At 36.5% G+C, this 16,417-nt stretch overlaps 1 protein-coding gene and 1 long non-coding RNA gene across 9 annotated transcripts in view, besides 1 other annotated feature; one reads left to right on the forward strand and one right to left on the reverse strand.

The window, feature by feature from the left end:
• Positions 1-16,417, reverse strand: part of PCDH9 (protocadherin 9) — a 927,503-nt gene that overhangs the window by 258,125 nt on the left and 652,961 nt on the right. The window lies entirely within an intron of this gene.
• Positions 1-16,417, forward strand: part of LOC105370247 (uncharacterized) — a 99,761-nt gene that overhangs the window by 574 nt on the left and 82,770 nt on the right. The gene's annotated exons all lie outside the window — the stretch shown is intronic.
• Positions 7,119-7,413: a silencer, noted in NCBI's record as "tiled region #12707; K562 Repressive DNase matched - State 7:EnhWF". NCBI's record gives its function as "represses a minimal TATA promoter and a strong SV40 promoter by Sharpr-MPRA in K562 cells {active_cell/tissue: K562}" and the evidence as "EXISTENCE:reporter gene assay evidence [ECO:0000049][PMID:27701403]".

Here is a 16,417-nt window from a genome sequence, read left to right on the forward strand (position 1 = left end):
TGGTGGCACTTGAGGAGCCCTTCAGCCTGCCGCTGCACTGTGGGAGCCCCTTTCTGGGCTGGCCAAGGCCGGAGCCGGCTGCCTCAGCTTGCTGGGAGATGTGGAGGGAGAAGCGCGGGCGGGAACCCGGGCTGCGCGTGGTGCTTGTGAGCCAGCGCGAGTTCCGGGTGGCCGTGTGCTGGGCAGGCCCCGCACTCGGAGCGGCCGGCTGGCCCCGCCACCGGGGCAGTGAGGGGCTTAGCGCCTGGGCCAGCAGCTGCTGTGCTCAATTTCTCACCGGGCCTTAGCTGCCTTCCCACAGGGCAGGGCTCGGGACCTGCAGCCCGCCATGCCTGGGCTTCCCCCCACCCACTCTGTGGGCTCCTGTGCCGCCCGAGCCTCCCGGAGGAGTGCCGCCCCTTGCTCCACTGCACCCAGTCCCATCCACCACCCAAGGGCTGAGGAGTGCAGACACAAGGCACAGGACTGGCAGGCAGCTCCACCTGTGGCCCTGGTGTGGGATCCACTGGGTGAAGCCAGCTGGGCTCCTGAGTCTGGTGGGAACTTGGAGAACCTTTATGTCTAGCTAAGAGATTGTAAATACATCAATCGGCACTCTGTATCTAGCTCAAGGTTTGTAAACACACCAATCAGCACCCTGTGTCTAGGTCAGGGTTTGTGAATGCACCAATCCACACTCTGTATCTAGCTACTCTGGTGGGCACTTGGAGAACCTTTGTGTTGACACTCTGTATCTAGCTAATCTAGTGGGGACATGGAGAACCGTTGTGTCTAGCTCAGGGATTGTAAACGCACCAATCAGCGCCCTGTCAAAACAGACCACTTGGCTCTACCAATCAGCAGGATGTGGGTGGGGCCAGATAAGAGAATAAAAGCAGGCTGCCCGAGTCAGCAGTGGCAACCCGCTCGGGTCCTCTTCCACACTGTGGAAGCTTTGTTCTTTCGCTCTTGGCAATAAATCCTGCTGCTGCTCACTCTTTGGGTCCACACTGCCTTTATGAGCTGTAACGCTCACCACAAAGGTCTGCAGCTCCACTCCTGAGCCAGCGAGACCACAAACCCACCAGAAGGAAGAAACTCTGAACACATCCAAACATCAGAAGGAACAAACTCCAGAAACGCCACCTTAAGAGCTGTAACACTCACCGCAAGGGTCCACGGCTTCATTCTTGAAGTCAGTGAGAGCAAGAACCCACCAATTCCGGACACAGTACTAGTTAAGCATAAAATATATTTAAAAGGAAAAAAAAAATCAAACTTGTGATAATATGTAAATCAGTTACCACTGATGACATCATCACCCCATATAAACTTTTTCTTAGCTCAGCATGTAGGCTGCTCTATTTTACACATCATTAAACCTTTAGAGCTCCTAGTTTTAGACAAATAGATCTCAGTATAGCAGATATACTAAATGCCTGTATTAGTCTGTTCTCAAGCCGCTAATAAAGACATACCCAAGACTAGGTAATTTATTAAAAAAAAGAGGTTTAATGGACTCACAGTTCCGCATGGCTGGGGAGGCCTCACAATCATGGCGGAAGGCAAAGTAGGAGCAAAGGCATGTCTTACATGGTAGCAGGCAAGAGAGCATGTGCAGGGGAACTGCCCTTTATAAAACCATCAGATCTTGTGGGACATATTCACTAACACAAGAACAGTACAGGAAAACCCACCCTCATGATTCAGTTACCTCCCACCGGGTCCCTCCCAGGATACATGAGGATTAGGGGAGCTGCAATTCAAGATGAGATTTGGGTGGAGACACAGCCAAATGGTATCAATGCCTGAGTGGTCAGAGCAAAGCTGTCTGCCTTGAGTAAGTGGATGGAGAGTCATGAAATGGAGTCACAGGACTCATAGAGCCATTTCATATGAGAAAGGATAAAACGAAACTAGCAGTTTATGCTTATACTCCTCATTCATATTAAAACTGGAGTATATGCATGTGTATGTTTGTGTCTCTGAAGTTAATGTGCTGCACATACATATATATATATAGTATATATAGTAATACCCCAAAGAAAATTCAGTTTTTCATGTCCTTTAAAAGCTTTATTTCCTTATCGAATTCATTGACTTTTGAGAAGTTTATTTAACATTCATGGGTTTTGCTGGACACCATTCTGCCTGAGGAATCAGAGATTGCCATGTTGTCTTGACTTTGTTGTGTTGTATGTTCTATCTTTTCTTATCCAAAATAGAACTTTTGTTGATTCTTCTCAGCACTCCCTGTGTAAACCTGTCCCTGCCCTGTTTCCATTTCCCAGTTCTCTAAACAGCATCATAGTCTATCAAGCTGTGAGACCAAAAACCTGAGTCATCCTTGAGTCCTTTTCCGTTTGCTCCCAACAGTTAAATGGAATCTATCAGCAAGTCCTGTTGGTTTTGCCTCCAAAATAGATCCGTAAATTCACTTAGGCTCTTATCACTTGATTGCTACTACTTCAGTCAAAACCACCCTACATACAAATCCACACTCTACCCTCTAGCCACAACGATCTATTACAATTACAAATGAGAGCATGTCTTTTCCCTGCTTTAAACTTCACAATGGCTTCTCCTTATGCTTAAAATAAAACCTGATCTCCTTATTTCCAGAACAAGGTGGTGCATGATCTGCCCGTAGTCCCCTGATCTCACCACTTACCATGCTGGGTGTCACATATTGTGCCCCACTCTCAGTAGTTTTCCATATTTTCTGCATACCTCAAGCCCATTCAATTCTCAAGACATTCACATGATTATATTTGCGAATGCTCTTTGCCAAAACCATTCCTCCATTCCTGACATTTTTCTGTTTTTTCGTTTTGGCTTACCTGTTATCTCTTGGAGAGTGATTCCTTATCTAGCCATTCTAAATTGGCAGCATAATGCCCACCCCCTCTGTTTTGAAACATATTACCCAGTTTTATTTTCATCAGGACACTTTTTGTAACTGAAATATTGTTATTATTAACGCAGGGTGTTTTTTTTTAAATTGTTAGTCCTACTCTCCCTTACCACAGCCCTTTCGACAGAACATCGTCTATCATTACCCTTTGTATCCCCAGGGGCTAAAATATGTTTGGTACATAATCCAAGCTTAAGGCACAATTGTGGGAGAAAATTGTTATTAAAATAAACCAGGGGAATACAACAGTAATAAAAGCTGGCAGTCTAAAAGCAACAAGGACATTGACCACTTGTTTCAATGTTTTATGGGAAATTTTGATTTTTTTTTTAAGACAATGTGTTGCTTTTTCACCCATGCTAGAGTACAGTGGCATGATCACAGGTCACTGCAGCCTCAATCTCCTGTGCTCAAGGGATCTTCCCACCTTAGCCTTTCAAGTAGCTGGGACTACAGGTGCACGCCACTATGCACAGCTGATTTTTAGATTTTTTTATAGAGATGAGGTCTTACCTTTTTGCCCAGGCTGGTCTTGAACTCCTGGGCTCAAATGATTCTCTCCCTTTGACCTCTCAAAGTGCTAGGATTACAGGCATGACCCACCACACTAGTCATTGATTTGCTCTTAATAATGGCTTGGTAAAAAATTTAATAATTTTTTTTAAATATGGGAGGACAGCTGATAACAGAGAAATGGGAGTGTTAATACATATGATGTCACTGACAAACTAAAATCAACAGCCTTCTGAAAATACAAGACAATTTTAAAAACAGAGAGTACCACGATTTTTCCCCCTTTCTTCTAGTTATTTGAATTCTTCTCTCTAAAATGATTATATTAGTCATAAAATATTCCTTCTTGTTGCTGAAATTCTAACACATTTTACTATTTTCCTGATGCAGAGTCAATAGGGAGTTATCTCCCAAAAGTGATTTTTCTACAGCTTTTATCTATCTCACAAATGCAAATACAAAATTAAACTCACTCAGAAACATCATGCACATAATGTAGGGTTTTTTTTTTTTAATTTTTGATACCCTGAGGATTTCTTTGTCCATAAATCAATGGAAGGGTTATACTCATGCACATGGATGTAACCTCGTTTCTCTCTGATAGACATCATGGGGAGAATATTCTTCCCTTAGGAAGCTATACAAATATAATGCAATATCATAAAATGTGTACATATTCTTTTAACTGTTTCAGGACAATAATTGTACTTTCAGTGCTAAGTTGCTAAATCATTTTCGTGTCTTAAATTTCTGTGTCTTCAAATTGTAACCTAACACTATTACTAACGCTTAGGTACTTGTATAAGGAATGTGCTTGTTTTTATACAAGAAAGAACTAATGTTTTTCACTTTGTATCAGTAGACTTTGAAACTCCAAGAATGTTTTCACCCTTATGCTGAGAACATAACAACATGCAAATAAATAAATGGTGATAACAACTTAAGTGCAGAAGAATAATTATCTAGTTTTGTGATAAACATTGTTCTTCCATTTTCATGAACAATGTGCCCTCAAGATTCACAGCATATGATAAAGAAAAGCTGTATGAGAAACCTAGAAAGTGCAGTGAAACAAATTCCTGGAATGAACTTCCTCAGTAGTGGGATCACAGTAACCAGAGAGAGTGGCAGATTTTGACAGAGCAGCTGTTAATGCTAGTACAGAGAAAGCTTGAAATTTATCTCAATCTTAGATTTCACACTCTGCTGTAGACCTCTCATATAGTTAGTAATCTCATCTTCAGGCAATTCCATCATTCAGCATTTTCATACTCAATCATAAGATTTTGTGTGTGTGCTAAAAATGTCATTTTCTGAAAGAACACACATGTCTGGATAAAACCTTATGGCCAGACTCAGGTTCCTTAAGGAAATTTACAGATATTCAGACATATTCCTCTATATTTATATACATTCCTTCAACAACATTGGTCTGTTAGGATATAAATATAAAGGGATTTTGTTCATTGTTTTAACATCTCTCTCCTATTTCCTCCTATGGAAAAAAACAAAGCTGCTTGGGAGAGAAGCTAAGATTTTAGAAAATGATGGAAAGAGCCTAAATAAAACAAGAGAAGCCTTACCCTACTTTGCCTGAGACAAGAAATTCTTAGTTTGTATGTTTGTTTTTCTCCAGCAAGGAGGAGGGAGTGAGGATAGCAGATAAGGGAAGATTTGTGGAAGAGAAGGGAGTCCCAGGATCATGCCACAGGGTGAAGCTAGGCCTGAGAGATATTCAAGGTGGCAGTGTCTGAAAGAACTTTCAAAACCATGAAAGTTTAACGCTCAATTGGAAGCTATTTGACTTGTGATGTACTTTTCAGAGTTTTCCTTCACTCTAGAATATTGGAAAATACTTTGTAGGAATGTGCTTGTTTTTATACAAGAAAGAACTAATGTGTTTCACTTTGTATCAGTAGACTCTGAGACTCCTAGAAGCAGACCAGCCATAAGAATGCAAGCCTGCTGTACATATCCATAAAATATAAGGAGAGCTTTCAATTTCCACAGGATAGCCAAGGATGTTAATCCAATTTTACCTCCATAGAAGAAGCAAGTCTCCCTTAGATATTTTTGTTTTCTATATATATATGTGCCTTGCCTAATAAAGAAATAGCAATAAGGTCTGAATAGATCACTTCTCTTTCTTCACACAAAACAGCTAGGCAGTGTAAAGGTAAGAGAGTTCATAATACAAAACTCAAACAAATAAAGTAAAATGACTATATTAAAATCACTATATATTTTACATGCATTGCTTTTACTAACAGTAACTTTGCCTGTCAGGAATTTAATAGTTGATATGTCAAAGTGATTTGGCCTGTTATTAGTTGTTCTGAAGTGAAATTGTCTTTTACATGTTAGAAACCAAGGGCCCGTCTTGATGGTCAATTAGCTCATAACTTTAACATCTAGTTATAATTTTGTTAGACAGCATCTTATAAAAAAATCATGCTTAAATTTTTGATGCATTCATTTAATTATATACCAAGAGTAAAAGATAGCATTTTAAATGTTAATGGAGACTATTTTGACATTGCACTGTCGTATAAGCATATTGCAATTAGTAAGCTGTGGAAGGAGATGATAACATCACAGCAAATCCACTAGGATCATGTGGAAATATAGGCAAAATAAAAATGATATATGAATGAAAGAATATAGTGAGGGGAAAGTTCTCCATTCTTATGTTTAAAAAAAAAATCCTTAAAATCAAATTGCTTATTAGAACTTTAGCCAGTCCTAAAGGAAAAGTCTTATTGAATTCAGTGCCATTCAGTTTAAGTCAATATCATTCAAGATGCATTAAGTATTTGTCTGTGAAGAGCTCCATACTGGGTGCTGCATGGGATATAATAGAATCTACCTATCTGCTTTTTTCCCAAGGAGTTCATGTTCTAATTAGGGAGGAAAAGTTTGCATATTTGACAGTACCAGACTACATTTGAATAAAAAACGCGTGGTATGGGGATGGAGCTTTTAAAGGGTTATTGTCCATTGTTTTTTAATTAGCTCCTTTTTCCTCTGACACTTGTCTTCTTTCTCCCTTTCCCATTCATTACACCAGAATGCCAATCTTTAACCTTCAATTATTACTTCAATGTGTTCCATATTTACAACACTGAATAAATCCATCTGTCTGCTAATAAATAAATAGTCTTGACCTCAACAAATGATATTACAATGCAAATGCATGATTCTAACAAAGAAATACAGAGACCTCTTAAACATTTATACTTTTTACTTTGCATAATGGACCCAAAGGACATGTTTAGAGAAATATTTAGTGAAACACAGCTTACCACCATTATCAACAACTCAACAGAAAGTTTTCTTTCAAATTGTCAGAAGTACCATTTTAAAGTACAAACCAAATTTAATTGACATTATAATCTGTGACTTTACTTTTTTACTACCAAATTATGCAAGGAATAAATAATTTTCTTCAGGAACACAGAAAACTTGTAGTGCTTATAAGGTTTCTGATGTACAATTTACTTCTTATATAAACCACAGTCACCTAATTTAGGACTACATTTTAGTTAAGACATATGTTTTTCTCATTTATATTCCACTAGTGCTGGTTTGCATCCTAAGCCTAAATAATTGCTTAATAAACACACCTACTGTGTGTTTGTTATTAACTGTATGTCTGTGCCCACCCAAAATTTATAGTTTGAAGGCCTAACTCCCTCTATGACTGTGGTTGGAGATAAGACGTGTAAGAAAGTGATAAAAGTTAAATGAGATCATGAAGGTGGGGCCCTAATCTGATAGGGTTGGTTCTCCTAATCATAAGAAGAAGAAATAACTGAGCTCTTTTTATCTACCATGTGAGGACACAGCAAGAACACAGCCATGTGCAAATCAGGAAGAGGGCACTTGCTGGGAACTTAATTGGTTGGCACCTTGATCATGGACTTCCCAAACTTCCAAACTGTGAGAAAACAAATTTATGTCATCTAAGTCATCCAGTAGTCATGTGGTAGTTTTTTACAGCAGACTAAGATAAGGCACAATTAAGACATGGAAATATTTACTCACAGACACATACACACACGCACACGCACACGCACACACACACACATACACTGATAAACTGACTCAAAATGATTTGCACCAGCCTAAGCAACATAGTGAGACTTTACAAAAAAAAAAAAAAGAAAGAAAGAAAGTAGCTAGATGTGGTCCCATCTACTCAGGAGTTTGAGGTGGAAGGATAGCTTGAGCCCAGAAAGTCGAAGCTGCAGTGAGCTATGATCATGCCACTGCAATCCAGCCTGAATGACAGGGGAAAAACCCTGTCTCAAAAAAAAAAAAGAAAATGATTTGCAGGAGAGGGGATCAGGAGTAATCCAGATGTCACTTTAACACTCAATGTAAGTCAAAGGGGTCAAAAGCAAAATATATTCAAAAATATAGGTGCATCTTGAACAACATTCAAAGAAAAAAGAGATATAATTTGGGAATGAGAAGGTGAAAAGTAATGGAAGTTCTGGAGGGGTGGGTTTCTAAACAGTAGTTGAATACAGGAGAAACAGTTACTGATATGCAAATACTAAGTACTATGTAGTATGAAAGGTTCGTATATATGGAGTTTCTATTAACCTTCTGTTCTTGGAAACATGTCTTTTTTTTTTTTTTTTTTTTTTTTTGAGATGGGGTCTCACTCTGTCACCCAGGCTAGAGATCCGTGGCACGATCTCAACTCACTGCAACCTCCACTTCTTGAGTTCAAGCAATTATCTTGCCTCAGCCTCCCTAGTAGTTGGGACTGCAGGCATGTGCCACCACCCCCAGCTAATTTTTGTATTTTATTTTATTTTATTTTTTAGCAGAGACGGGGTTTCACCATGTTGGCCAGGCTTGTCTCAAACTCCTGACCTCAAATGACCCACCTGCCTTGGCCTCCCAAAGTTCTGGGATTACAGGCATGAGCCACTACACCCAGCCAAAAGTGTCATTTTAAAACAATTAGAAAGGGTAGATAAATAAAAATAAATTACAAACTCACCTAAAATGCCACTACTCAAAATTAACCATAATGAAAGTTCTGTTATTTCTTCTGCATATATTGTGTACAATATATACAATTATATGTCTTTTCCACTTAAGAATATATCATTAATATTTTTCAGTGTCATTATATGTCATTGTACTGTAACGTCATTACAAATCACATTATATGCTGTTTTTCCTCAACATAATTTTTAGGATACCATACAAGCCATTCTATAGATACTCAAAACGTTGTATAGTCAAATTACCATTCATGAACATTTTGGTTGTTTATTGGTTGAGGGTGTTTCTATTTATGAAGAATATTCAGAGCATTTATAGGTTAATTATAACCCCATTATATAAGAGATGGGATGATTAAGTATTAATTGAAGACAACACCAAATGCTGGTGAGGAGGAAGACAGGCTGGATCACTCATCTGTTGTATTGGGAATATAAAAATGGTGCTGCCTCTGGAAACTAGTTTCAGAGTCTTACAAAATTAAATCTGCAATTGTCGTATGATTCCACAATCACACCCTTGGTTATTTATCCAAGAAATAAAAATTTCTTTGATTTACATAAAAATGTAAACACAAATATTAAATAGCAGCTTTATTCCTAATAGGCAAAAATTTGAAACAGTCCAAATGTCTTTCAACAAGTGAATGACTCAAAGAACTGCTATTACCATGGAATTCTATGCACCAATTAAAAAGCGTCAACTATTGATACATTCAACCACTTGGACAAATCTCCGGGGGATTATACTGAAGGAAAAAAACCCATATAAAAAGTTAAATACTATATGATTCCATTTATACAACATTGTTGAAATGACACAGTTTAAAAAATGGAGGACAGATTATGGTTACCATGGATTAGGGATGAGGAGGGAAATGTGGAGAGCAGTGGGAAACAGGTATGTGTGATTATGAAAGAACATGAGAGATTCCGGTGTTGGAACTGTTCAGCATTTTGACTACTTTGGTGGATACATGAAACTACACAGGAGATAAAATTGTGTAAAACTAAATATAACACAGACACACACACAAATGAATACCAGTAAAACTAATGAAATCTGAATAAGATAGGGAGATTTATCAATGTCAATATCCTGGCAGTGATATTATACTACTGTTTTGCAAAATGTTACCATTGTGTAAACTAGGAAAAGTGGACTAGGGTCCTCTCTGCCTTATTTCTTACAACTGTATGTCAATCTTCAATTATATCTATTAACATTTCAGTTAAAAATCACTTATAGAAGAAGATGCATAGTGAACACAAACTAAGGAAAACAGATTTTAGAAAAGAAAAGGGAATTGATTAACTTGACAAAGTAGTTAGATTAGGCAATAGATTTTGAATACAGGATTGTAGAGGTTGAAGACAACAGAATCCAAATATGACAGTTACTTTTGTAAGACACATTTAAAAAAGGTATTTATTTCATTTGTCATTAGAGGACACATTAAGATAAATGGCTTTCAAAATCTGAGAAAAATTAATGTCTAGTACATATTTTATAAGTTTCAGTGCTTATATAATTGAATAATGCATATGCATAAAAGGGAGGAGGGAGGTGAAATAGAACAGAATGCATAAATATCTGAATGAACTATTCAATAATAGAAATATATAATTTTTACTTTAGAATTAACCTTCTTAACATTTTATCCTGCTATTCTAGGCATAGATATAAAATCTTACTACTGGTTAAAAGTAACAAGAATTGTTGCTTTGTCAAAATATATTAGATGAGGCCTAATAACATTTTAATTTTGTTTCCTATGAGAGAATATTTATTGTTACATGGTAAGTTATCCTATACAAATAGCACACTCACATATTATATCAGATATTCTGATCTAATTCTGATCCTCCCAGACATTTATTGTAAATTTTTATGTCTTTATATCAAACAATATCATAATTCATCTGGAAGCCTCTTTATGAGTAACAAAATACCTGTAATTTGAAAACATTGACCCTTTGCTTGGTATTTGCAGACCTATGATTCACTCACCTAATTGTACATGGAAAATTATAATGGCCATAGATTGAATGTTATGGCAAAATATAAGGGCATTATAAAAAGACTTAGCAAGCTATATTTAGACTAAAAATAGCACCTAAATGGCACTAATGTTCTTTTTTTTTTAACATTGTTGCCATGAGAAATAATTGTCCTTTTCTGCTCTACATATCAGTTGTACTCCAGGCTACCATCCTCATTATCGCTTGATAGTTCAACGGCTAAAAGACTGTTGTTTTTGTATAATTATTCTTATTAGCCATTTTGCATAAAAGCTTATGAGATAGTAAGTTGATTGTATATGCAATTACAAATGAGAAACTCAAGAGTGACTGGGTAAATAATTCTTCTGAGGTCACAAAATAGTCAAATGTTTGGGCAAAAATTAACATTTTTCTTTTTCTAGTCTCAGTCCAACATTGCATTCCTGATTATTTTGGCTGGGTTTTGGATATAAATGTTTTATCGTGTATGACTAAACTAATATGAATGTTTGATTACATATAAAAATCTATAATTTGTTGTAGTTGTTCCAGAAAATTAGGAATAATATTAACTTTTAAATATATATGTTTTTGTAGACATTGTGTCACAATGGAAAAAAAAAGAAAGGAATATAATTTCGACTCAGAATTCTTGAATTCTCTTAAACTTATGACTCTTTTTCACCATATAAGCTTTTTTACTGATACATAACAATTGTACATATTTGTAGGGTACATGTGATATTTTGATACATTCATACAATGTGTAATAATCAAGTCAGGGTAATTAGGACACCCACCACTATCAAACATTGATCATTTCTTTGTTTTGGGAACATTCCAAATCTTCTAGCTATTTTAAAATATACAATAAATTATTGTTAACTATATTTACCCTACTATGTGTGCTAGCATACACTCAAGCTTATTCTTCTTATATACCTGTATATTTGTACCCATTAGCTGACTTCTCTTTATCCTCCCCTCCTCAGTCACTTGCCAGCCACCACTCTACTCTCTACCTCCATGAGATCAATTTTTTTCGTTCCCACATACAAGTGAGAACATGTTATATTCGTCTTTCTGGGCCTGGCTTCTTTCACTTAACATAATGTCCTCCAGGCTCAGCCATATTGCTACAAGTGACAGGATTACATTCCTTTTATGGCTGAATAATATTCCATTGTGTATATTTGCCACATTTTCTTCATCCATTCATCCACTGATAGCCACTTAGGTTGATTGTGTATCTTGGCTACTGTGAATGGTGCTGCAATAAACATGGGAGTGCAGATCTTTTCTACGCATTGATCTCCTTTCTCTTGGATATATACCTAGCAGTGAGATTGCTAGAAGCTATAGTATTTCTTTTTTCTTTCTTTTTTCTTGAGACAGGGCCTTGCTGTATCACTCAGGCTGGAGTGCAGCGGCATGATCACAGCTTACTGCAGCCTCACCCTCCCAGGCTCAAGAGATCCTCCTACCTCAGACTCCCAAGGAGTTGGGACCACAGACATGTGCCACTGCGCCTGGCTAAGTTTTTTATTTTTTGTAGCGGGGACTCATGATGTTGCCCAGGCTGGTAGTATTTCTATTTTTAGTTTTGTGAGAAACCCCAATACTGTTTTCCATAATGGCTGTACTAATTTACAATACAAACAACAGTATACTAGAGCTCCTTTTCCTTCACATCCTTACCAGCATTTACTCTTTATCTTTTTGATGGTAGTCATTTTACCTGAGGTCAGATGATATTCCATTATGGTTTTGATTTGCATTTTTCTGATGATTAGTGATGCTGAACATTTTTTTCATATACTTTTTGGCTATTTGTATGTCTCTTTTTGAGAAATGTCTATTTGGATCATTTACCTACTTTTTTTTTTTTTTTTTTGCTGGTGAGTTGTTTGGATTTCTTACATATTCTGGTTACTAATCCTTTGTTGGATAGATAGTCTGCAAATATTTTCTCCCACCATTCTATACATTGTTTCTTCACTCGGTTGATTGTTTCTTTTGTTACTTGCGTAAATGTATTAACCCCTTCTGAATCCCTTGTTATCAATTAAAACTCAATTCAGCTATCCTCTCCTATTTTTAATTTTGCCTGAACCTCCTAAATAGATTTCCTTGTTACCTATGTGAGTTTCTTGAAAGAAAAGATTGTGTCTTTCTCATCAATTTATCATTAGATTCTAGCATAGTATCTGGCACAGGTTGAGATGCTACGTTAAGACAGTCCATTTGCAATGTTTGATAAACTAAAAAATAATTTACAGACTTACATCTTTTTATTGCAATCAAGTTGCAGTCAGTTAAGGGTATTTTGTTGAGAGCAGTTGGGTTTTTTTGTTTGTTTGTTTGTTTGTTTGTTTGTTTTTTTGGTGCCAAATCAACTGAAATGCAATGCAATTATCAGTCAATATTACTTGCATGTGGACATAGGAATCCCAAACCATCCCACTATCGGGTTCTTTTACATTATGGAGTGTTCAGTTAATTTTTTCCTCTACTTTCTTCCTTTCTACCAATATTTTCCAGCTTTATTTCTCTCCCCTACTTCTAGTTTTAACATTCCATAGTAGGTCCATAAAATCCCTCTGGTCAATAGCCTAGATACTCTTATCATTTTGGACGAAATCACCTAGGAAAACACCACCTGTCAATAAATTCAGTTTTCTGCTTTCCTACTTGCCTACGGCAAAGCTGCAAACCATTACCAAAGATAAGTTGTAGGGAAAAACAAGAATGTCTCAACAACACATTCTTAGTTGAGCCATTGAATCTCCATATTGCTGAGCCTTAATTTGAATCCGATATTAATGAGCAACAACTATGTTTGTTCTCTGGTCAATTTATTGTAAGCTCTACATAGCCAATTTTCCCAACCAGCTTCAGTCTCCTCAAATCTGTTTTGCCTCCCTGCTTCCACAATCTCATTTCTCTCTCTCTATGTCTTTACTGAACCAGACCATCTTCCTCATGCAAGTGATCTTGTCTACTGATACATAAATAAAGTAGAAGTTTTCAGGTGAAAATAACCTTAAATTGATGATATACAAGCTACCCACACATCCTCCATTTACATGCTCCTTTAAAATGGAGTGCATGTTCCTTAATCTTCTCTTGTGTCTTCCGTATCCCAATTGTTCCAGTCTTCTAAATACTTTGCTGCTAACTCAGTCTATTTTTTGTCTTCAAATTTCCACACTTAATGCATCTTTCAAAAAGATGAAATCATATCTGTCCTCAGAAATAATTTATTTAAGCCAGTGTGTCTATTTACTACTGAGCTGTTCTCCCTTTCCATCTGTGATTCTTATAAAAGACATATTTCTCACAATTTCTAGCCAGTCATTCTCGCCCTTCAACAAACTGGAATGTGGCTTCTGCCCTTGACTGCTTCATAGAAGCTGGCCTTTCTTCAGCCACAAACAATTCCACTGTGACAACTCAGTGCAGGAAATAAAGAATGACCTAGTAATAGCAAAGATATTTTTGGGCCGGGCGCAGTGGCTCATGCCTGTAATCCCAGCCCTTCGGGAGGCTGAGATGGGAAGATCACTTGAGGTCAGGAGTTCGAGACCAACCTGGCCAACATGGTGAAACCTCGTCTCTACTAAAAATACAAAAATTACCTGGGCATGGTGGCACATGCCTCTAATCCCAGCTACTCGGGAGGCAGAGGCAGGAGAAGTTCTTGAACCTGGGAAGCAGAGGTTGTGGTGAGCCGAGATCTCACCATTGCACTCCAGCCAGGGTGACAAGAATGGAATTCCATCTCAAAAAAAAAATACATATATATATATTTATTGTTGTTGTTGTTGTTGTTAGGAAAATACTATATTTACATTTTCAGTCCTAGCTTTCTTCTGTTTCCTGACACAGGCATACATGTTAGTATTTCTCACAAGCATCTGTCATACCTCTGAGAGTTCCTACTTCAGTAAATAGCACCATAATCCACCCAGTTGCTTAAGTCAGAAATCTGGATGTCTTTATTGGTATATTCCCTGAATCCTCCTCACATCTAGTCCCATCAGGATCTACTCAAAAATCTGGGAATGGTTCTTAACTGGTTTTGGAATAATGCTGAAAAGCCTTAGAAGGTCCACATGGCCCTGTAAGATCACCCCATGCCTACCACCTTCCTCTTCAGTGAGTACGCTCCAAACACATTGCATTCATATTTTAAAATATGCCTTGCTTTTACCTCCCTCTAGGCCTCAGAATTCCTTCTTCTCACTGTGTGGTATCCTCTTTATCCATCAATATCTTTTCATCCTTTAGGTTTTAGCTAAGATATTATTCCCTCAAAGACATTTTCAGAACCATCTCCCTCCAACTATATCACGTTATATCAAGTTTCTCTTTTATTCACTCTCAAAACACACTGTAATTTTTTCTTGAATGAATATAATGAGGTTTTTATAAATTAATGCTATGTTATTTTTTACCAGACAAGCCCTATGAGATAAGAAACTATGTCTCTCCAATACTCAGTACAATCTTATAGATAGTAACTGCTTACTAAATATGTTAATTTTATGTTTTTGTACCACAATTAGCACATAGGCATAGTACAAAAAAGTCACCAGATTAAAATATGTAAGCTAGACACTTTGGATTATTTTTAACCCAAATAAAAAAGATCAATTATCATAAAACATCACAGCAGATAAAAAAAAAAAAAAGGAAAGGCAAAATTCTTCAACAGTACAAAGCAGGTAGCCTTTACTTTTATAATCAACATGAGGTTAGAAGCTATTTTGTGAATTCAAATCAAGTCTTCATTTATAAACACTTTATTTCTTTGATAGTTTTATTCTTTTAAAATTTCAAAATATATATATATTCCAAAAATGTTAATTATAAATGAAGATTGTAGCTCTGTGATCAGGTGTTCCAGTTTCTTTATACACACACACATAGACACACACAGAGCTATGTGTACATATATATTTTTTATAATGTCCATAATCGTAGCAATGAAATTTCAGGTCATAGATTCAAACCTTTATGGCTATTATAGGGCCTCTGGAGGAATCTTGTTTAAGATTGTTAAAGATAGCATTCACAGTTAGAGTCCTAACCTTGGTAGATCATTAAATAAGAAACTACTAATGAGACATTCACTTCCTCTAGCCAATGCTTCTTTTTTATTCAGCATGACAGCATTCACACCATAACTGCAAACTAATCTGTTTTGTTTTGGAATCATAATTACGTATTGACAAGCTAAACTGTGAGACCTAAATAGGGGAACTTAAGCTATTATGGGAGCATTCTCATGGGGAAAACCTAAAGGGACATCAATTATTTTGCCACAATCTCACTCCTTTTCAATTTTCCATTCTTGTGTGCAATGAAATCCTGGGAGAAAAGAAGCTATAAAAAACTAGATGCAATACATTGCCTGGAGATTGAGAAATAGCTTCTATGGGTAATTAAAATAAAAACAGGTACAACTCATCAGTGAATTTATTCAAAGGAAAACATTTCTATCAGTGCAGTATATTTATTTTTATTTTTCATATAAATTTACACTAAAAAACTATAATATCAAACTATATATGTCTGTGTGTATACAAATACATATAATTATGAAGATATTATAACTGCTTGAATAAAAACAACACAAAATCTCATGGAAAAAGTAATTGACAAACTATCTCACTGAAAAATAACCTGGTATTATACAATTTAAATTCATTTTAAAAATCTTTGCTACTGTTACATGAGATAAGAATTATTGTTATTTATTTTGTCAGTGAACCAGTCTACTAACAAATAAATATATAGGAAATTAAAATTAGAAATATTACCATGTATACTATTTGCCAATAATATATAAATTGAGATGGATTTTAACATAAAAAATATTATTTCCAGAATTGATTCATTTTAAGCATAGAATTATTACTTGCAGGAACAAAACTCTATCCTGGACTTCAGAAACAGGAATTATAAAGTAAATAATAGAATC

Source organism: Homo sapiens, chromosome 13 (genome assembly GCF_000001405.40).
Source record: "Homo sapiens chromosome 13, GRCh38.p14 Primary Assembly".
Lineage (NCBI taxonomy): Eukaryota > Metazoa > Chordata > Mammalia > Primates > Hominidae > Homo > Homo sapiens.